This window comes from Homo sapiens, chromosome 8 (genome assembly GCF_000001405.40).
Source record: "Homo sapiens chromosome 8, GRCh38.p14 Primary Assembly".
NCBI classification, from domain to species: domain Eukaryota; kingdom Metazoa; phylum Chordata; class Mammalia; order Primates; family Hominidae; genus Homo; species Homo sapiens.
The window spans coordinates 104818263-104840560 of record NC_000008.11 but is presented as its reverse complement, the minus strand read 5'-3'; the positions used below and the strand labels follow the sequence as shown (position 1 = coordinate 104840560).

At 36.7% G+C, this 22298-nt stretch overlaps 1 long non-coding RNA gene across 1 annotated transcript in view; it reads right to left on the bottom strand.

The window, feature by feature from the left end:
- LOC105375694 (uncharacterized) overlaps positions 1-13178 on the bottom strand; it is a 68330-nt gene extending 55152 nt beyond the window's left edge. Inside the window, exons 1-2 of the long non-coding RNA XR_928510.2 lie at positions 13083-13178; positions 1283-1501 (exon numbers count right to left, since the gene is read on the bottom strand). This is a non-coding gene — a long non-coding RNA (uncharacterized LOC105375694). The remainder of the gene's footprint in view (positions 1-1282; positions 1502-13082) is intronic.
- Positions 13179-22298: the final 9120 nt, after the last annotated feature.

The window sequence follows — 22298 nt, the reverse complement described above, 5'->3', positions numbered from 1 at the left end:
AGGAGGCTGAGGGAGGAGAATGGCGTGAACCCAGGAGGTGGAGCTTGCAGTGAGCCAAGATTGCACCACTGCACTCCAGCCTGGGCTACAGGGTGACACTCCGTCTCAAAAAAAAAAAAACAAAAAACAAAAAAGAGGTTGTGCAAGATATGGCTTCCTTCCCTCCTAGAGATCTTGTAGTGCTCTATTTTTCTTTCCACACAAGACAAGCAATGGCTTCCCAAATCTCAGGGACCACGGGAAAAAGGGGATCTCTACTCTTCCTTAGGAAGATACAGTGGAAAAGGTCATTTTTCATGTAAAATGCTAAAAGAAATAGTATTCACCTCATGGAGTCACTGTGATAATTAAATAAGTCACATACAGGTAACACTCAGTGTTGTAAGCACACAAAAAATGTTTACTATTTTTATAACTATTCTCATGAGAAGTTATGAAGAGCAGAGCCCCCAATTCCCTGCATATCTGCACTCTTTTTAAAAAACAATTTTGTTTTCAGAGTCTATTTACATTTGAAACAGGATCTAATAATGTGCATAATGACTGATACTACAATTTCAATTATCATTTGACTGTCTCTTTCCTTACTCACACATTTATGAGAAAAATGTAGCCTCTAATGTCTCTGTTCTTCACCATGATTTTCCTGCATCCAAAACTGCAATCATGCGTAACCTTTTTTATGTGTTACTTCCCTAAGGATAAAGGTCAACTCATTTATAAATATATGATGCATCAGTTCCAGTTTTACCATCTAACTTGATATTTTATTCTCACAAATCATCAATAATATACCAATAACTAGCCTTTATTGAATTCCTTTTCCGTGCCAAGCACCATCCTGGGCATTATGAAAGATGTGCTCTCTAATCCTTGCTACTGCACCGTAAGGTATCATTATTGCCATTTTACACAGGAGAACCAAAAGGTACAGAAAAGTTCAACAACTTTCTCAAAGTTACACAATAAGAAAGTGATTGGATTTCCAAGCCCACAGCCCAGATGGCCTCTGTTTTAACACACTCACCTACAAATCGAGCATGGCTGGCTTGTTTATGGGTTCTCAGAATGTTACTGAAAGCAGAGTGTAGTACATCTGTAATCCCAGCTACAGAGTGGCTGAGGTGGTAGGAGGATTGCTTGAGCCCACCACGAGGTTGAGGCTACAGTAAGTGATGATGGCACCACTGCACTTCAGCCTGGGCAACAGAGCAAGGCTTCATCTCTTATACAAAAAGTAAGACAAGAATATTCCTGAGGGATGAGCAATGAGAAGACCAACCTGATGATCAGCAAGTGGGTTCCTTATCTACAATGTTTTCTGGATGTTTTCTTTTAAAACAAAATGGACAGAAAGGAGTTGCACTCATGATTCCCGTCTCAGGAAATGGCTACTGAAATTTAGGACCCCTCTTGGCAGTTGTTAATGAAGGTAAGGTGAGCAGAGTTGAGCCCATCTGATGCTACAGCTGATGGAGAAGCAGGTCTCATAAAGAATAATCTGGAGATGACAAAGAAACAAAAAGCCAAACAATAGCATCTCTACCCCCTACATAGCCTGTTTTATTTTCTTCTAGAACTGTTTTACCTATTCAAATCCTTAAATTTGACTCTCATAATAGTATTTTTATTGAATGCTTATTCTGTGTCTCACACTGGGCTAAATGTTTTACATTCATTTGTTAAAATTACTAATCTTCCACAATATCTCAGTAAATAAATTACTCTTTCAGTGTTGCCACAAAAGAATTGAGGCACATAAGAAACTTGCCTAAGTTCACAATCAAAGGAAGAGCGTGAATTCAATTTCAGATCATTTGCCCACTAGGTTGTAAGGAACATAAATTATTACCCATTCTTTTTATTATCATTTGTCATTAAAATAAAAATAATATGAGTTTGAACAAGATACCCTACTTTCTTTCAGTGGAAGAGCCACTGAAGACCATCTGAAAAGTTTTCTGTAAAAAGAAACAATTGCCCCCATGCCTCAGACAAGCTAAAAAACCAGTTGGAAGGTATTGCTTGGCATTCTAGTTTTGAAAGGCCAAGTTCCACTAAATAAAACCCTCACTTTGTGTATGTGTGTGGAAGTGATTAGTCATTTAATACTGGAAGCTCTACCTGGAACACATTTCTTAATACATTTTTTTCACATGCATGATGTCTTTCCACAATTTATTGCCACATTTTATTAAACTCTTGTTACCTAGCGTGTAATTGGAATCATCACTGATACATGAAACACGAGTATACAAATCTGAAAACGGAGTGGGGGCAGGTCAAAGAAATAACAGTGAAGCTAAATTTTAAAATGGCGGGGGAGACATAGACTGTACTGTTATGAATTGCTGCACCCTTTGCCAGCCCAGGGCGATTGCTTCCAGAAAAATCACCCATATAAACTCAATCCTCTGAATAAGAAATGATGGGGGTAAAACAGTAAAAACAGACCAAAAGCTACAAGAGAAAACAGGTGAATTACCACAATAGATGCCTTTACATTTTGACTCTTCAGAAATAGAAATTTTACCAGCATTAAATATAAATTTAACTTTGCCTTCTACTTCATGAGGCTTCTCTGGTTTCTCTCAATATCTTGCACCTTATTTCACAAGCTCTAGCTCGTGTATTTTCCTGTGAAATGTAACTGTGTCTATCCATGTCATAATTTTTCTCCCAAATGCTAGCACAGTGCCTGGCACAGTAGAACACAAGAAAAATGTTTTATGAATGAAACAATGGGTAAATAGTAAAGCTAGAAGTGGGAATTTTAAAAAAAAACTCTACAAGAAAACATTAGAAAGCTTGTTAGGCTCCTATGGAATCTTTTCACAGGTCAAATTACATCCTCTTTTTGTGAAATAACTACCTTTCTCAGTTTCAGTCTTTTAGAATATTTTTCTGAATTCAGTGACTCTCTTCTTTCATCTCCAGATTACAGCCTTATTTTTACCACAGAGCATTATATCTATTTTCAGGTACATTCAAGGGCCACATTGGAAATTTCACAGTAAAGACACAGTCACCTTTAGACAGAAAACATTATATTTATTTTACTGAGAGATAGGAAAATAACAACAAAATATGAAAGAAAGAAAATGAAGAATGTTTCTTATAATTTCTGCCATAATCAGGCACAATCATTCCTGTTTTCTAATTACCATTTTATTATCATCACTGACACCATAATTATTAATCATTATCCATTGCTTAAACATGGCTAACTGTGTATGAATTATCACATATTCTTATTACCAATTACCACCTGGGTATCTATGAAGATATGTAATCAAAATTTTTAATCTGATTCAGATTTTATAACATTTTAAAAACATTATTCTGATTCTAAAAAGAATCAGATTTTTTAGAGAAATATATAAAATGTGGAGATTACAAATAAAATGATTTAAAAGTACCCTTAATTCACAAATGTATTAGTCTGTTCTCATGTTGCTAATAAAGACATACCCAAGACTGGGTAATTTATAAAGGAAAGAGGTTGAATTGACTCACAGTTCAGGATGGCTGGGGAGGCCACAGGAAACTTAACAGCCATGGTGGAAGGGGAAGAAAACACATCCTTCATATGGCAGCAGCAAGGAGAAGAATGGGAGCCAAGCAAAGGGGGAAGCCCCTTATACAACCATCAGATCTGGTGAGAACTTACTCACTATCACAAGGGTGAAACCACTTCCATGATTCGATTACTTCCAATCGGGTCTCTTCCATGACACATGGGGATTATGGGAAGTACAATTCAAGATGAGATTTGGGTAGGGACACAGCTAAACCATATCAACAAATTATCATCATTTTATTTTATATTACAAAGAAATTACAATAATGTCATGTATAAGGTAAACAGTGAAGTCCCTTTCTTCCACTGTTCCAAAACACAAATATCCACAGTCAAGGAGGACAGTCAGCTAACAAATACTGCCTGGGTGGGGCCCCCATGCACCAGGAATTGTTCTGGGTGTTTGGGACAGTGTTGAATGTGAGAAACAGAGCCTCTCTCCTCAAGAAACTTACATCCTAATGGCTACAAAAAAACTTCAGTAAGAAAATTAAGAAGATAAGTGTTACAAAGAAGATAAAGTAGGGTAAGGAAGTAAAAGGTAACTTATGGAAGCTCCTATCCTTAGGTCAGTCTGAAGGCCTCCCTGGGAAGATGACACTTGAGGGTAGACCTAGATCTCAGGAAAGAGCATTCCTAGCAAAAGGAGCATTCAGGAGCACAGGTCCTAATATGGAAATGAGTTTGGAATGTATGAGGGACAAAAAGAAGACCATCATTTCTGAAATGAGAGACATCATGGAGAAAGATAAAGTTAAAAAGTTAGGGAAGAGCCAGATCGAAGAGCATCTTTGGGAGTTTAGATTATATTCTGATTGTAATGGGAAGCCTTTAGAAGGGATTAAAGTGTTCAGAAAACCCCTAAAATTTCAGCCTGGCCACTGTATATATAGAGGAAAGGCTTTAGGAAGACAAGCAATGAGGCCAGGGTTGGCCAGGAGCCCATCACAGTTGTCCAGGCAAGAGTTGATGGTGACTCAGACTAAGCCTGGGGCAGTGAAGATGACGGATGGTGAAAGGCAGGAAGTATTTAGTAAAAGGATAGAACTTGCTGCAAAATTAGACATGGTAGGTGCAGAAAAAGAAAAATCAAAAATTCCCAGGTGACTCCTATTGACAGGAGGCATACATTCATTAGATGTTCTGCTCACATATGGTCTATCATAATCTGTAACTAGTTTCTAATACTTTACATGTTGATATTAGTAGCCACCATCTACTATGTATCAGATGCTTTACATAAACTATCTCAATTAATTCTCATTTAGCAACCTTATGAGACAAATATGTGCTATTATTAGCCCCATTTTATAAATAAGGAAATCAAATTAGAGATTATGTGGCTTATTCAAATTCACACAGCTAATAAGTGGTTGAAGTAGAAAAGAATCAAAGCAAGGCCTATGTGCCACTAAGCCACGCCCTTAATCACCATGGGATATATCTGATGAATGTGTCCACATTTACAACCAATTCCCCTTGTTACACATTTAGCTTGTCTTCAGATTATCCCTGCTAAAATAATGCAACTATGAGCATTATTGTGCATATACTTTTTTTTTTTTTTTTTTGAGGCGGAGTCTTGCTCTGTTGCCCAGACTAGAGTGCAGTGGCCCAATCTCAGCTCACTGCAATCTTCGCCTCTTGGGTTCAAACAATTCTCCTACCTCAGCCTCCCAAGTAGCTGGGATTACAGGCGTGCACCACCACACCCAGCTAACTTTTGTATTTTTAGTAGAGTCTGGGTTTCACTATGTTGGCCAGGCTGGTCTCAAACTTCTGACCTCAGGTGACCTGCCCGCCTCAGCCTCCCAAAGTGCTGGGTTACAGGCTTGAGCCACTGCACCCGGCCTATTGTGCATATAAACTTTTGTGATTATTTATTTAAAATAAATTCCTAGAAGCTACATAGGTACAATAAAATTATAAAAAATTTAAAGACATTTTACACACATACAAAATTGATTACTTTCCAGTTTTACCCATTTAAAGCTTAACTAGCAGTGAATGCAACTAATTTATGCATCATCATTATTTTCATAATAATTTAAATTTCTGCATTGTATACTGACTGTTCTCACACACCTAGAAAGAGACAGAACTAGAATGTGCACGTGAACAGGCTGACACCAGATACACCAGTGGTCCCCAACATTTTTGGCATCAGGGATCGGTTTCATGGAAGACAGTTTTTCCACAGATCGGGGATAAGGGGTTGGGCAGATGGGCAGAGATGGTTTCGAGATGAAACTGTTCCACTCAGATCTTCAGCATTAGATTCTCAGGAGGAACACACAACCTAGATCCCTTGCATGCACAGTTCACAACAGGGTTTGTGCTCCTATAAGAATCTAATGCTGCCACTGATTCTTAGCGGAGCTCTTATGGTAATGCCTGCTCCCCTGCCGCTCACCTCCTACTGTGTGGCGGGGCGCAGTTCCTAACCACTACTGGTCTGCAGCCCAGGGACTGGGGAACCCCAGCTTAATATAAGTAATTGAGTTAGAGATCCAAGTTATTTTTCTCAAATTTTAAATCATGTAATCCAACACCACTTTTTGGATTATAAAATTTTTCACAATTGACCTGAACTATCTGAAGTGACAAGTTAATAATAATAATTATTAAATTAACCATTTAGTATATGATAGGTGCCACACAAAACACAGGTTGACAGCAACCACAAATTAATAACCATTATATCCTCATATTTTCATGGAGTAAATTTATTTTTATGCACATATGTAAAGGCCTATGTTTTGAGTAAGGCTAGCTGCCATAACAAAACATGCCAAAATATTAATGGATTAACACAAAATAAATGTGTATCTTAATCATATCGAATCCAAAACAGTTTTGCTGATTGCCAGATATATCTCCTGCAAGCAGGGATTCAGGAACCCAGAACGTTCCAAGCTGAGACTTCACTTCAGCATGTGCTTACAAGGTGTCTGTGCTGGTCTGTCTCAAGCCAGCAGAAGGAGAAGGAACATGGAGGATTCCCCTGCCTCCATGAGAATTTTTTATGGGGAGGTGAATTCCATTGACTAGAACTCAAACATGTGGCCACCTCTAACTGCAGGAGAAGACAGGAAATGTAGTATCTCTGTATGCCTGGGAAGAATAGGAAATGCATGTTTAAAAACCACCACAGTCCAGGCAACAGTCTATCAGGGCTTGTTATCTTTTTCACTGATCCATGTGTGTGCACTTGTGTCATTTCTGCACTGATTATCCAGTAGCATAAAGCCTCTTTATTATTATTCTTTCTCAAAATTATCTTGGTTGTTCTGATAAATTTATAATCCCTTTCCCATAAAAGTCAAGTTGCAATAATAGAAACATAAAAGTCTATAAACAATAGAAAAATTCTTTAGGCCAACCGCCGTGGCTCACGCCTGTAATCCCAACACTTTGGGAGGCCAAGGCGATCGGATCGCTTGAGCCCAAGAGTTGGAGATGAGCCCGGGCAAAACAGCAAAACTCCATCTATAGAAAAAAAAGGAAAAAATTAGCTGGCAGTGGTGGCACATACCTCTAGTCCCAGCCACTCAGGAGGCTGTGGTGGGAGGATCGCTTGGGCCTTGGAGGTGGAAGTTGCAGTGAGCCGAGATCGCAGCACCACTGCACTCCAGCCTTGGTGACAGAGTGAGACCCTGTCTCAAAAAAAAAAAAAAGTATTTAACCTCATGGGTAGCCAAACACTTTATATTTTTTAAATATATCAAATTTTCAAGTATTTAAAATAATAACTAAAGCCAGGATCATGCACTAAAGTCAATATTCTTGAACATGTACATTAGTATAAAACTTTACGTATGGTAGAGGGAGAGAAGTCTGAAATTTGGAAATATAAAACAAAAGCTATAAGTGGTCCACAGCCTTTAATAAGTTATTTTTTATTCCTTCCTCTTTAGTAATAAAAGCACTTTTAAAAATCTGATCATTTCATATCATTATGGCTCTGGAAAAAATCTCAGATTAAATACTGTGTTCTCATTGCTAGTATTTTGTAAATTATTTATTAACTACAATCTTAACATATAGTTAATAATTATTTAGAAAACTAAAGTATAAGTGGTTGTAAATTCAGAAAAAATTAATTTTCTTTCATTGCATAGTAAAGAAAGTGATCTATTTAAATCATTTTGAGGAACTGAATGAGGCTTTTTTGTGGCCTAGTATATGATTATTTTATAAATGTTTCATGAGCCACCTCAAAAACAAGGTGAAACGTTCTGCATATTTAGTAGACAAAATTAGATGTAGAGGCCTATATGTAGGTTAATTTTATAAATACTAATTAAATCTTTTAGTAATATTTTCCCAATTCTATGTATTAAATAAGGATGCACTTAAGTCTTCCAATACTGTGTTTCTGACAATTACTCCTTATATTTTGATAACTTTTGTATTTATGTATTTTAACCATTGTTATAAACACTGTATCCAAGTCTATACATCTGACTGAAATGTTCATTGTCAGTTCAGTTCATATATAACTTTTTAGTTTAGGGTTTGTGTGTTTGTTTGTTTGTTTTCAGATGGTCTTGGCTCCGTTGCCCAGGCTGGAGTGCAGTGATGCAATCAACCTCACTACATCCTCGGCCTCCACGGCTCAACGAATCCTCCCTCAGCTTCATCCCTTAGCTTCCCAAGTAGCTAGAACCACAGGCCCACTACCATGCTTGGCTAATTTTTTTTTGTAATTTTTGTGGACAGTGTCTCACTATGTTGCCCAGACTGGTCTCAAACTCTTGGACTTGAGCTATCCTCCCAAAGTGCTGGGATTATAGACATGAGCCACCATGTGTGGCATTTTTTAATTGTTGAGTCTCTTATTTTGATTCATTTCTCATTTGGCAGAATATATTTTGAGTAACTTTTTAGTAAAGGACATGTGAAATATATTTAATTGTGTCTAAATCTGATTATGTCCTTCTATTAACTTCACATCTTAACAGCAATGCAGCTAGATGTAAATTTCTGGAGTCAAAAATTTTTCCCTTCAAAATTATATAAACATTATGCCATTATGTCAAAGCATTTAATGTTAGGCAGCCTAACTTTTCTACTTTTGTAGGTAATTTTTTTCCTTCCTGAAATCTTGCTTATAAGATTCTTTATTGTGATTTTAAATTTTCTATAGGATAGAGATACTAATTTCCTCTCTTTAATTTTGCCAGGTACACAGAGATCTTATTCTATGCGTGCTCTGAGATATTTCTTTACCCTCTTTCTATTCCATTTATGAGTATTACTTCTATTCCATTTATTACCAACTCATCTTTAGAAACATAAATTATCTTTAGCCTAAATTTCTATCCTTTGTTATCCATAGCTATATTCTTCTCTTTAATTATCACTGCTTATTTGAGTTTCTCCCATCTTCTAAAACAGTCTTAATAATTTTCTTTAAAATAATTTTGACTTTATGCATTGTATATTGTTATTTCCAATTTCTAGTTAATATACCAGCTGTTACTGCATTTTAGTTTCCTTTAAAACTTGCTTTATTACATATAGCATCCTCTTTCCAAGCTTATATTTTTATATTATTCAAAAATCAAATACATATTATGTAAAATGTACTGTTTATTTTAATGAATTGTTTCAAATGTTTCTTCTACACAATCTTGAGAATTATTGTCCATCTTTTATTTTGTAGAATTTTTTCCTGGATCCCTTTTCCTTCTGTTTCCTCGTCCAAAAACGAGGAGAGAGCAATCAGATCTATTATCTTTCTATAAACTGAGTTGACAGGCTTTTCTCAGCTCCCTTCACTTTCTTTCTTTCAGATCTTAAGTCAGAGGAATGTTTTATGTAAACAGCAATGCCAGTTAAACAATTCTGCAAGCTGAAGAGAATAAGTGCAAAGTCAGAGCTATGGAAATAACCAGTAAAAAGCTAAATGATGAGTCCTAAATGATAAGTAGATGTTACTCAATGGATTGGAAAAGGGGGGTTGATGAGAAATTTAGGGGAATTTCTAATACCTGCAGCATGGAGGAGAAAGAAAGCATAATACTTTAGGGAAATGCAAACTAATGGTCCGTAGGTTCCAGATCATTCCATTCATTCCTTGCTTCACTCATAAATTTGCACTGTGCTATAAACAAGCATTTTCAAATATGTGTCCCACTCCAAACTAGTCCTGCAAGACACTTCATGAAAAAGAAATGGATCTCTTCATCAAGTAAGTTTGGGAAACTTTGCATATTATATTCCTCCCCCTTTTGGAGATTCACTAGGGACATTAACATTAAGGATCTTGAGAAGACCTATTGTAAACAAAACTGCTTAATCTTAACTTACAATTTCTCACATCTTGTCTTTAATATCTACTAATATTCTATGGCAGTTATTGGAAAAGACTTTGGGAATTGCTGCTGTCGTCCACGGAGAGTTATTGAATGGCTTTTAACACAGAAGAGACAGGATCAGATTTGCATTTGCAAAGATTACACTGAATGCTGTAAGAATAAATTAGTGGGTACAAAACTAGAGGAAGAAAGGTAAAGTACCAGTTATTTTTATAATCCAAAGCAGAAACTTAACTATGGAAATAGAGAAATCTGTGGATGTCCTTTAGTGTCACTATAGACGTTTAGAGAGAAAAAAACCAAAACATGTCTTTTGGAGTTTACAGGGAATGACAAAAAAAGCCAGCTCTGGATGCTTTTTCACTGTCTATGCCCAGATATTACATAAAGCCCATTTCCAGAAGAACTGTGACCAGAACTTCAACCTTCAATTTTGTCTCTTCAAATTTCTTACAGCACAGAATCTCAGCACACTTCTAGTTGTTTTTCACTCCTTAAATTGGATAAAGGACAATTTTGTCCTTTGTGTTTCCTTTGCCATTTTCAACTACATTTATTCCTGAATTGTTCTATCCATTTTTCTTTAAAAGAGTTATCTTATTTTTGTTCCTTAAGAGTTTGCTGTTTTCTTGAGAGGCAGAGCACAACGTCGCAGCTAAATAGCCCAGGTCACAGAGATCACTAGATCCATTTTATTTCTCTAGTCAGCTCCGCCAAACCTTTACAATATGACTCTGGCTCCAGTTGATTTATTTTTACTCTTCACACTAAAAATTGGAAAGTTTTTTACATAAAATTGTTCTTCTTACCACTCCCCTCCAACCATGCATTCATGAAAATAATCAATATATCCTTTAAAAAGGGAGGTTACAGAGAACTATTGGGGCATTTCTGCCATAGTAATTCCATTTTGTTATTTTTCTATAAACTCAAATTCCTTATTCCCATTACTTTTAACACAATAGTAAATAAATTTCTTAACACTGAATGCTATGAACTAACAGGAGTTGAGTAATTTAATCTAAGACCAACCTATCATTATAACATGTTGATACTAGGAAATACGTAGATTGTCCTGAATACCCTTACCAGAAATTTGGGTAGTGGTTATACTAGAAGATCCATTTTTTAAAATATGTTTTAATTTCTTTTATTCTGACCTACCTCTGCAGGAAAAATATATATGAGCTAATCTAACCTCTCGGAGAACATAATATATTGTGAAATCTATTATAATCAATCACTGAAACTCCAGTGGACTTCCCTATTATAGGACAGTCCTAACTGATCTTGCTGAAGAGAATTTAAATCATCCCCCATCACTGCAACATCAACATGAGCATTTATTAATCACCCAGTCTTTTCAAAATTGTTTGGTAAGCCCTTTGGATACGTGTTTGGTTTAACATTTAAAAACCATGAGACTTCAATGAGCTTTTCTTTCCTGGTTGTATATTTTCTCATATATTAAATGGAGGTAATTCCACCACCTACCTCTTATACCTTGTGCTGGGGGTAGAAGTTACTTTTCAATTGGGCTGTCAGGGAAATGCCCCTTTGAAAAGACAGCATTTGGGCAAAGAACTGAAGGAAATGAGAACATAAGATGAGCAACTATCTGGGGGGAGAGGCACTACAGGCGGAGGGAGCAAAAGTGCAAAGTCCCTTAAGTGGGAGAATACCTGGCTACTTTAAGGAACAGCAGGAAAGCCAGTCTGACAGGAACAGAGTTAGTGCAAGAGAGCACAGAACTGGTTGAGATCCTAGAAGTAAAGGGGCCAGATTGTGTAGGGCCTTGTAGGCATCTAAGGAATTTTACTCTGAATGAGATGGGAAGCTAATCAAACATTTTGATCAGAAGAATGGTCACTGTTCTCTCAAAAAAATAGAAACAACTCCAGGTATTTCAGGCAATAATGGATTTATACAGGGAATTCATGTTTATAAAATCATTAGCAGGGTTACAGTAATGAAGATCAGAGAAAGCTACTGCCAACTAGTTCTTATGTTGATTACTAAATTTCAGAGAGTCAGAAAGTGATAGAAATTTCAGAAACAGCTGCAAAACTACCAACATAGAGGCAGGTAATTCAGAGAAAAATTCCTGAGGCTCCTACAATATCTCATTTCTACCAAAATTTATACAACCTCTGTTTTGCTAGAGGAACAATAATACGGCCTCTGTACCATATTCTTCTGTTTCTTCAATTCCACTTTCCAAATCTCTAGTAATTTTCACCAATTGTTGTCATTTAGCCTAGAATTCTAGTGGCAGGAATTCAGGGTAATACAGTTTTTAGGCTTCCAACTTCTAGGTTACAAAAGGGAATATAAAAAGAATGGAAAGAAGCTCATATGCCAATACACAATTCAGTACAAGTAACATAATCAGGCTTCTGTTTTAAAAGCATCAGGAAGGAAGGCTTCAGTGTTGGAACAGTCTGCAGGAATGCAAAAGTGGAAGCAGAGAGGTTCATTAAAATGTTGTTAAATAATCCATGCCAGAGAAAATAGAGACTTGGATGAGGATATTAATATTAATAGTAGAGGGAATTTGATGGTGATATTTTGGTGATTAAAGGTAGAAATGGCAGGACTTTCTGATACATTGGATGTAGAGTAGACAGCAAATGAGAAATCAAGAATAACTCCAACATTTTTGACATGAAGATCTGGGAAGATAGTGTTTCCATTTATTTACATGGGAAAACCACAAAATGAACAGATTGGAAGAAGGGAGGGGATCAGAAGTTGGATTTAGACCAGCAATACCCCAACTTTAATTTGTATCAGAATTATTCCGAGGCCTTGTTAAAATACAAATTGCAGTGCCTTCAACTCAAGAGTTTCTAGTTTAGGAGTCTTGGATAGGGACTGAGACTTTGCTTTTCTAGAAAGTTCCCAGATGATCCTGATGCTGGTGGGCCAGGGAATACACTTTGAGAAACACTATTTTAAGAAATGATAAACAACAGAACTTCCTATAGACTTTTTTTAAAGTGTGTAGAAGAAATCTACAAAAATTTTCTTGCATTTAATAAAATGGAAATATAACAATTGTGGTGTTGTCTTTGAGTATCTGAAAGATATCAGTACCAATTGGCTTACCAATCTTCTAAATTTGAGCTTTCGTGCCTCAAATACTTTATAGATTAATAAATGATTTTACTATTGCTTACGCTGAGGAAGAAGACTTGAAGCCAAGAAGACTTGTAGGCCCAGCTACTTGGGAGGCTGAGGTGGGAGGAATGCTTGAGCCCCAGAGTTCAAGTCCAGCCTGGGTACCATAGCAAGTCCCTGTCTGTAAAAAAATATTTTTTTAAGAAAGAGAAAGAATAATTAAATATTTATGTTTGTATTGTTTCGGAATTTTTATATTTTCTCTTCCAGCAAGAGTAAAGGTTAAAAGATTTGAAACAAGTTTCCACGTTTCAATAAAAATAGCACTTGGAATAGCTACATTTACATAACTGAATCCACATAAAAATTATTTTGGAAGGTGTTAACATTTCCCCTTTAGAGATGAGGAAACTGATTTTCAAAGAGGTTAAATAATGTGTCTGAGTTCATACAGCTGGTAAGCCTTAGACTCTGAATTCACAAATGGGTAAGGTGATTTTAAAGTATGGGTTCTTTCCATTGTTTCCCAAACTCACTTGTTATCAAAAAGTTCATGGAAAATGCATATAATGAAAAAACTATGCATGACTTCAAAATGTTTTTGCACCAAAATAAACTCATACTAATTTATAACAGGCCTAAATAAGATCAAGTTTGAGGCACTTAGAAGAAAAAGACATTAGTTTGAAAAAAAAAAAAAAAGCCATGTCAGAGTAAAATGAATTCTTCTAAAATTGAAGCAAGAACAAATTTAGGGTAGATCTGGGGTGAAAGAAGGGTAAAATGCTTTATGAGAAGTTTACGGGAACACTGTCCCAAAGAAGTCAGCAGTTCACAAATGGTTAACTTATTTTAATAAGGGACAAGATGATGTTGAAGATGAAGCCTGTAGCAGCAGACCTTCCATATCAATTCATAAGGAAAGAATTTCTCTCATTCAAGCCCTAATTGAAAAGGACTGATAATGGACAGCACAAACAACGGCCAACACCATAGACATCTCCACTGGTTTAGCTTACACAATTCTGACTGAAAAATTGAAGTTCAGCCAAATTTCCACTTGATTACAGATGCCCAGGACCCCTCTTTGGAAATTCTGGTTCTTTGTATTTAAGATGTGCTTCGGATTTTTACACAAAATGATAGCACCCACATCAGCTACTGACAAGAACCAAGCTGTCAATGAAAATTTTAAACAAGTGGGATCAAAATCCTGAAGCTTTTCTTCAAAGAATTGTAAGAAGAGATGAAATATGGCTTTACCAGTACAATCCTGAAGACAAAGTACAGTCAAAGCAATGGCTACCAAGAGATGGAAGTGGTCCAGTCAAAGCAAAAGCAGACCAATCAAGAGCAAACGTGATGGCAACCAGTTTTCTGGGATACTCAGGGCATTTTGCTCGTTGACTTTCTGGAGGACCAAATAATGATAACATCTACTTACTATAAAAGCATTTTGAGAGTTAGCCAAAGCTTTAGCAAAAAAAAAAAAAAAAAAAAAAAAAAAAAATCTGGAAAAGCTTCACCAGAAAGTCCTTATCCACCACCACAACATTTCTACTCATTCCTTTCATCAAAAAAGGGCAATTTTGCAAGAGTTTCAATGGAGAGCCATTAGGCATCCACCTTACAGTCTTGATTGGGCTTTTTCTGACTTCTTTTTGTTCTCTAATCTTAAAAAGTCTGTAAAGTGCACCCATTTTTCTTTAGTTGATCATATACAAATGACTGCATTGACACAGTTAAATTCCAAGCACCCTCAGTTCTTTAGGGATGGACTAAATGGCAGATCTCATTGCTTACAAAAGTGTCTTGACCTTGATGGAGTTTATGTTGAGAAATAAGGTTTATGTTTTTCATTTTTATCTTTTAATTCTCCATGAATTTTTGAAGTCCCCTAATGTAATCTTCTGGAGTATTTATTAAACATTCAGCATTATAAACACATCCTAAACCTAAAGAACCAGAATTTCTAAAGAAAGTTCCTGAGGATCTGTAATGTTTAGCCTTGGCACAGGCAAGTTTGAGAAACACTACAGCACACCCTGCCCAGAATGCCTAGTATAGATGAGTTTAGACATGCAGAAGGGAAAATATAGACACTTTCAAGTGTTATCTCATTCATAGGATATTAATTTTTAAAGATAATTAATAAGATGTATTTATATTTATTTATAGTTCTATAATAGTTATTTTCTCCAAAAGTTTTGGGGTAATGCTAGGCATTTCTGTATTCAAAATATCTTCCCGTTTCCTTTAAAATATTTTTATTACATTGCTCAGGAGACATAAAAGTTATGATACCAGAATAGGATCAATCATAAATCCTACAGATGTATTTGATTTAAAAGAAGAATATATTTGCTGTGAAGAAAAGAAAAAAAATCAGTGGAAGTATTCATATCTTTCATACAGCTCATGGAATTTCTGGATAAACATTGAGCAAATATTGTACCAAATTATAACATAATAGGACAAAGTTATTCAAAGAAATTCTTGGTCTACAAAGAAAAGTAAATTCCCCAATTCTAAATGTACTCATTTCTGCTCTGTTAAAGAGAATCATGTTCAGACTGAAAGGAATACAATTAATACCAGTAAGCCAAAGAGGGGTGAAAAAAATCATAAAAGGTTGTCTTCATATTCTAAATAAATTACAGTCACTTGTTTCAACCAAAATACATTCCAGAGAGGGGAAGGGAAACATGTACTGGTGGTGATGGATTGGATTTTGTTGAGCTTCCTCAAAACGGCTATTCTGAATTATCTTTCTGAAAGGTTACATATCTCTGTCTCTCTGGGATTGGTCATTGGTGCCTTATTTAGTTCTCCTGGTGGGGTTATGTTTTCCTTGATGGTCATGTTTTCCTTAATGGTCTTGATGCCTGTGGATCTTTGTCTGTGTCTGGGCATGGAAGAGTTAAGTATTTATTGTCTTCACAGTCTGGGCTTGTTCATACCCATCCTTCTTGGGAAGGTTTTCCAGATATTTGAGGAAACCCATCCTTCTTGGGAATGTTTTCCAGGTATTCCAGGACTTGAGTGTTATGATCTATGACTTTAGTAACTGCAACAATATCTGCTTTAGGGGGCACCCCAATCCCAGTAACACTTTGGCTCCTGCAGATTCACAGAGACACTATGTTAGTAGTCTTGGGTAAGATCCAGAAGAATTTCCTGGACTACCAGGCAGAAACTATTGTTTCCTTAATATGATGTTAAAATCAGGTACTGTGACTGCATTCATCTGATTTTTCATTCCTATGAAGGTGCTTTTTTGTGCAGATAGTTGTTCAATTTGGTGTTCCTGTTGGGGGAACAATCACTGGAGACTTCTATTCAGCCATCTTGTTTCACCTCCCTCTATTGATCTCATCTTTATGTCCATATATACTGAATGTTTAGCTCCCACTTTTAAATGAGAACATGCAGTATTTGGTTTTCTATTCCTGCATCAATTCACTTAGCTTAATGGCCTCCAGCTGCATCCATATGGCTGCAAAGGACATGATTTTGTTCTTTTATGGCTGCATAATATTCCATGGTGTATATGTACCACATTTTCTTTATCCAATCTACCATTGATGAGCATCCAGGTTGATTTCATGTCTTTGCTATTGTAAATAGGCCTATGTAATATGAGTGCCTATGTCTTTTTGGTAGAACAATTTATTTTCCTTTAGATATATTCTTAGTAATGGGATTGCTAGATTAAATGGCAGTTTTGTTTTAAGTTCTTTGAGAATCTCCAAATTGCTTTCCACAGTGGCCTAATTCATGTTCCCACAAACAGTATATAAGCATTTCATTTTATCCTCAACCTCACTAACATCTGTTACTTTTTGACTTTTTTTTGAGACAGAGTCTTGCTCTGTCACCCAGGATGGATTACAATGGTATGATCTCAACTCACTGAAACCTCCATCTCCCAGATTCAAGCGATTCGCCTGCCCCAGCCTCCTGAGTAGCTGAGATTACAGGTGTGCGCCACCACGCCTGGCTAATTTTTGTATTTTTAGTCAAGACAGGGTTTCACCATGTTGGCCAGGCTGGTCTTGAACTCCTGACCTCAGGTGATCTGTCTATCTCATCCTCCCAAAGTGCTGGGATTACAGGCATGAGCCACTGAGCCTGGCCTACTTTTTGACTTTTTAGTAATAGCCATTCTGACTGGTGTGAGATGGTATTTCATTGTGGTTTTTACCTGCATTTCTCTAATGATTAGTGATGTTAAGCATTTTTTCATATGCTTGTTGACCACAGATACGTCTTCTTTTGAAAAGTGTCTGTTCACGTCATTTGCCCACTTTTTAATAGGGTTGTTTCTTACTTGTTGAATTGTTTAACTTCTCTATAGATTCTGAATATTAGGCCTCTCTCAGATGCATAGTTTATGAAGGTCTTCTTTTGGATCTGAAAGTGTTTCTTCAAGAAAACAGAATCAAGTGTGAGTGATAAGAAATAATGGATTCATAATAAAGACTAGACCTTATGTAGTTGTGGGAACTAGTGAAGAAGTCTGGTCCTGAACTCACTGTAGGTCAGTGAAGCAGAAAAATCAAAAGATAAGCTCTAAGTGAAGAATGGTATAGTTAGGAAAAACCAAAACCTGCATCTGTGGGTTGCACCCTGCAACCTCAGTGACATAGGTGATCTGCAAAACAAGTTGGTACCCTACACCTTGGAGGTGCCCCTAAGCCTGGCCCAAAGCTAGGTGACATCGAAAGGGAATATTCATCAGTGGGTACTAGAGGATTGTGGGCTGAGTAACTGTGTCATGTTCATTCACAGTGAGTCTGCAGATCGGGGGCAATGTGCATGAGCTGAGGTGGTACCCAATACCCTCTCTGATCTTCAGAGCATATAGGCTACTGCTTCAGTCTGCCTTCCATATCTCACACAATTTCCCCAAACAGCAACCATACAGTTAATCAAATTCTGGGAAATGCAGCTCCAGCTTAGCTCATTTGCCACGGCACAAAGTCATTAAAGCCCAACCCTTGTTAACTTGGCACTCGCACATACTTCTTTTAACCTTATTTAACTTCTAAATTAATAGCAAATGTATGCTTCCACCTAACATGATACAGCTATCCTTCATATGACTGAAATGTGCAAAATCTCTCACCAAAAAATGATACAAAAATGTATTTTTTTTGTGGGTAACACTCTTTCTTCTTTTTGCTGAATATCCCACTTAAATATCCTGTAGATTAAATGTTGAGATACAAGTTTAACTATTTCTTTTAATACAATTTATGGTAAATGGTAAGGGGATGGGAGAGGGGGAAAAGAATTAATAAGTACCCTAATATAGTCATCTCAATGTAAGAAAGTACTACTCAAAAACTATATGCATACACGCTTCCCGATCACACTCAAAAACTATTATAAATGGACACTGTTTACATTGTAAGTTGTAATATCTATTTGAATTACGATTATTTGTTTATGAATCTATTTCCTCCACTAGATTATGAGCTTATTCATGGCAGAAAATATATATTGTCCATTGCTGTATCCATAGCAACAAGCACAGTGTTTGACATGTACTCAATATATATCTGATGAACCCTGAATGTCTGTAATTTTATCATTATTTATCAATGAATAGAACACTGCTGGCATAGAGCTTTTAGGTATTTGACTATTTGAATAAGAAAGGCCAAGGTCAAAGAAATTTGAGGACAGAAGCATTTAGTTGTTCACATTCTATGAGTTGAGGAGCCTTATGTATCCAACCAGCAAGAAAGCATGTATTTCCATATATAATGGAGCGCAGAAGGGTAGGGAAACATTAGAAAGAAGAATACTCCAGTTCCAGTCTCAGATCTCAATTTAATTCATTAAGTAACCTTGGAAAACTTACCTAACCTCTCTGGGCTTCAGTTTCATCTACATAAATGAGGAAATGAGCCCAAGCATTTCGTAGATCTTTCCCAACTATAATTCCATTGTATCTATTACAATTAGAGCCCTCCTTCAAATTAGGCCAAAATACTAGAGCCCTGATCACCAGAAGTCACTGACCCTTACTTGGGTTAGAGTGAATGCTTTGGTTAGATTATCAGATTCTCTGTCAGTTTAGAAGAAGATATAGATGGCTTCAAATACTAGCGTAAAATAGAATGACTGAATTATGTCTACATAAATCCCCGTGTATCCTATCCCTAGACAGGATAAACAAAGTTTCACATATAACAACTGTGGAAGCTGTAGGAGCCATGCTTGTGACAAGCAGACCCTAGATGGCCAGGGAGCATCTCAAAGCTCTAAAGAGGAACGTAGATGGCCAGGGAGTATCTCAAAGCTCTAAAGAGAAACATAGATCCTTGTAAGTTCAGCATGACCTCTAGATTTCCTGGAAATATATGCAAGTAGGCAACAAAAAGGACAGGAGTGGAGACGACACAATACCAGCCACGAAGTGGATGCCAAAAGATAGAGCCAGGAAGAACCGCCAACATGAAGTCCCTATTATGTATCAGATTGTGTTCTGACCTTTACAAGGATCATATCCCTTAATCCTCCCAGCAACCCAACTAAACCAGAATTGCGATCCCTTTAATGAAGAAATAAAAGTGAAACAACTTGTTCAGTATTGTGACAATCATTTTTATCAATCACTAATATAGAGGCAAATAATTTTTCAGTCAATTTAAGATATATCAGAATGAAAATAAAAATAGCAAGTATTGATAGAGAATCCCTGGGACATTTCTCTCTTCCAGGGACCTACCTTCTTCCTCGGGAGGACTCTAAGGATGAGATTTTCATCGGTTGGTTACCAGATTGTTTTCTAAAATAATGATAAACACAAACATGGCTGATACAATTTGACAATACAGGGTTTCATTTTAGTGTTCAAAACTGCCATTAAAATGAAAGATATAATTGTCACAGCATAATTTTTAAGGATATATATTTTGCTGGGGTGTGGGGTGATGGTTAACCATTGTCTGCCTGGACTCAAATTTTTAAGGTCTCTGGTGGTCCAATGTACCCCTAAACACCAGTCACTTTTGATATAATTACACTTTTAGTCCTTTTCTTCCCTGGCCATTACTATGAAGTACAAGTATTTGCATGTGTGTGTGTGTGTGTGTGTGTGTGTGCGCACGTGTATTTGTGTGTGTATGTGTCTGTGTGTGTGTATAATGTGCATGCAATGCATGCATGGCTGTGGGGATTACATTCATTTTAAAAATTAAAGTTTACTTAAATTTTTATGTGTACTCTATAGAGCCCTGCCTCTGTATAAGTGCTCATTCATCTAGAAAGGAAAGACTCCACTCTAGCTGCACCTCTGGAACTAGATAGTATTTCATCAGACTACTAAACATCTTTGAAAACTTAATGTAAGTCTATATAAAAATTATATTCAATTTATGAACACTTTTTACTTTCAAGATCTTAGTATCATATCCATAGTATAACAGAATAATACCTAGACAGGCAATAAAAATATACAATGGAGGAAGAGGACAAAGCCTGTTCTCAACAGACAAAATAGGATATGAAGCTGTTAAGACAAGAAGAAAACCCAAACAGACCACAGAAAGTGGCATAAGGGCAACAATAAAGAACTAAAAAGGAGGCCTTCAAAAGTATTACAACAGATAGGGACACCATGCATGGAATGAAAGAAACAATACAAAACCAATATGGAATGAAGTCCTACATAGGAAAACAGGGTCTTGAGGTCCTTCCAATTCTCAAATTCTGTAGTTTATAACTGTAGTTTTAAAACAGTTGCTTAATGAAGTACCTTCAAACTGCAACACATTTTCCATGAAGAAGACACACAAGGACTGCTTATTCTCAGGCTCTAGCTGAGAAAAACAAAAACTCCTTTCTGGGTTCCACCTGAGCTGGAACGCATGTTTAAATCTCCTTCCTCTGTGACAAGTTGTCAGGTCTGGCACATACAGAAACCTATCAAAATATAAACTGACAAACTTCAAAGCCCATGGAAGGCCTGGCCCTGTCAGATGGCTGGAGGGAAGAAAAGTACCCCAGATGCCTGCACTCCGAAACTTTCTAATAAGAGTAGCAACGTAAAATATTACACACTTCAAAGCACCAATGTTATAAACTTCTGCCTCACAAAAGCTGTTCCCAAATATGTCCTCTAACAGGAAAGCTCGCCATGAATCTTTCTTGAAGGCAATGCACATTTTAATGAATGCTAACATGTTTGCAAACATAATGAAAATAGTATTTCCCACAGAGCAGAGTGAGATTATTTGAATAAAATATCTGCCTTTGGACATGAGACTCTGCTGATGATCACGGTAGGATCTGTGCTTTATTTGTGGATTAGAAGCCACAGTGCAGTATGGATATGTGCTTTATGAGAACTGGCTGAGGAAACCTCTCACCCGCTGACATCTGCCCAGATTGCCACTGTTTTAAATCTCCGCATCTGAATTTTAGAAGCTAAAATTTTGGCACTGCTAAAAGAGCCATGTCTCTAAATGGGGAAGTCTCATGAGGGGATAAAATTCAATACCAGAATTTCAAATATTTTATCATTGTAGAACAGAAACTGACACAGAAAGGAAATACAATGAAAATGGCTGAATCACAGGACCCCAACAAACTGAAAAAATGGTGGCATTTCAATTATAATGGAGCTACTACACCCTTGGGAAGGATGAACACATGTCTCATAGGTATTTGTTTTGATTGGCAGATACCTTTTTCATTATCAGGGAGCAGGTTCTAGATTCCACGTCTCTCTGATACCATATAAGACTCTGTCTTTGTTAAATAAATACAGAAATCTGGAGGTATTTGTTCCTGCTAAAAAACAAAACAAAACAAAACAAAACAAACAAAAAAAAAAACAACTGCCTCAGACAGCAGTTCACATTTCTCTCCAAATCTCTCCCACTTTAAATATTCTTTAGTTACTTCTGTATGCATTTGGTGTCATAGCCCTTTCTTCAATAACGGCTCATCTTCTCTGTAACAAGGCCCTGACTTAGACATGCCTATAGGTAGAAGCCACAACAGAAAAAGATCAATAGAAAGTAGGGTGCTGATTCAGCATCAGGAAACAAAAGATAACCAAACTTTTAAAAGGTTATTAGAATGCACAAGAAAAAATACTCAAACCTGGCCCGTATGAGAAAGCAACTACCACAAATCAATTTCAAAACCTCAATAGTTTAACAGAATCTGACCTGTCATTTATAGGAAGCCCAATTGGCTGGAGTAGTAGTGCAGGTGGGTGTTGGGCTCTCTGCAGTTTTTCAGGTCCCACACTAACA